The 1,514-nt window shown below is 46.1% G+C and overlaps 1 annotated feature.

Annotated features, from left to right (window-relative positions):
• Positions 304-805: an enhancer, noted in NCBI's record as "NANOG hESC enhancer chr20:12681309-12681810 (GRCh37/hg19 assembly coordinates)". NCBI's record gives its function as "activates a minimal SCP1, AML or CMV promoter by ChIP-STARR-seq in primed H9 embryonic stem cells {active_cell/tissue: H9 hESC(primed)}" and the evidence as "EXISTENCE:reporter gene assay evidence [ECO:0000049][PMID:30033119]".

Genomic DNA, 1,514 nt, shown 5'->3' with positions numbered 1-1,514 from the left:
TCAGGCTGTGGGCATCCTGATGTATCATACCCATGTTTCCAATTATATAGTGGCTCAAACTGATGAGCAGTCCGTGTCAGAAAAGCTGCAATGCCAGGGGAAGCAGAGCCCGCCATGTACCTACAGATCCTTGGATGGAGAGCTTCCAGGACACTCATCTTAGCTACAGTCTCAGATGGTTGAAGCAAAACATTGAAAGTAATGATATGGCTCTGTTGCCTGGAGAAGCACCCAGGGTCCTTGGTCATGCGCCGAGAAAATTAGTGACACGGACACATGTGGAGTGGTTTAAAGAACAAAAAGTTCAACGGGCAAGAAAGAAGAAAACAGCTCCCCCATAAAGAGGGAGGTGGGCTCCGGATGGAAAAGCCCTGCCTATGGTGAAAAGCAGTTGGTTATATTGGGAGGCTGGAGGAGGTGGTGTCTGATTTGCATAGGGCCCAGGGGATTGGTTTGACGAGGTACGTCATTCACGTAGCCCGCAAAAAAACTGGCCCTCCCACTCTAGCATTTTAATATGCAAATACGGCTTCCTGGCCTGTCGCCATGTTGTCCTGCATACGTGGCTTTATCTGGAGGCTGTCATGACATCTGGCACACGTAGTGACAAGGAAAAGAGGGCAAGAGGCTCCATATGGAATGCACCTGGCTTCCAGGTAGAGCTGCTTGCATTTACATATAAAAGCTTCTAGTGTGCGTATCTATGCCTGACTTCTAGGCTGCTTTCTGTTAGAGAAGAAATGGTTTGGTGGTTGCTTTTCATTAAAGGAAAATTCCACCAAGAACTTTCACCCTTTCTATCTGCCTAAAAATTATTTCTTAATAACTCCTGTATTAGTAAGAAGCGTATATCTGTGAAATGACGGACAGGGATGGGTAGAGTAGAGCCCACCTGGCCTATGGCATTGGGGATTTCAAAGCAACATGGTAACTCTTGTACAAAGTAGAAAGCCAGAGACCATCAGAACCAGTAAGCATGGTCCACTGAGATGGCTGGGATCCCCATTACTGAAACAATGCTTTCCAGAGCAAGAGTCCATATATTCAAACCAATGATGGGCTCAGCAGACCCACACAAATACCATACCCTTAACATTCCTGGGAAGATTGTGACAAATCCAGTCCCTGAACTCAGGACCCAAACTCTGACACAGACTAATGTGGCTTGTTTCTTCCTAGTATGCTGACTTTGATCTTCTGTGCTGGCTGGCTTACTTCACCAGCCAGTACCATTAAGATAATCTAGGAACCATTAATTCTCTACAAACCATTAGACTTTCAACTGACTTCCGACTGCAGTCCCTGGTTCACAGTTCAGTAAAACTCAAAGGTAAAGAAAATGGTTTTAGATCAGTGATTCTTGGTTCAAGTCCGGGAGGCCTCTGCTTGATCTCACAGGGTGGCAGTATACTGCAGTAGTTACCAGTTCAGACTTGAGAGCAGAGAACTGGCCTCCAAGCCTAGCTGTACTATGTCTCACTGTGGGATGTGGAGCAGATGCTTATCTTTTCTCA

Source organism: Homo sapiens, chromosome 20 (assembly GCF_000001405.40).
Source record: "Homo sapiens chromosome 20, GRCh38.p14 Primary Assembly".
NCBI classification, from domain to species: Eukaryota; Metazoa; Chordata; class Mammalia; order Primates; family Hominidae; genus Homo; species Homo sapiens.
The sequence above is the reverse complement of the archived record's forward strand: the minus strand, read 5'-3'. Positions and strand labels throughout refer to the sequence as shown.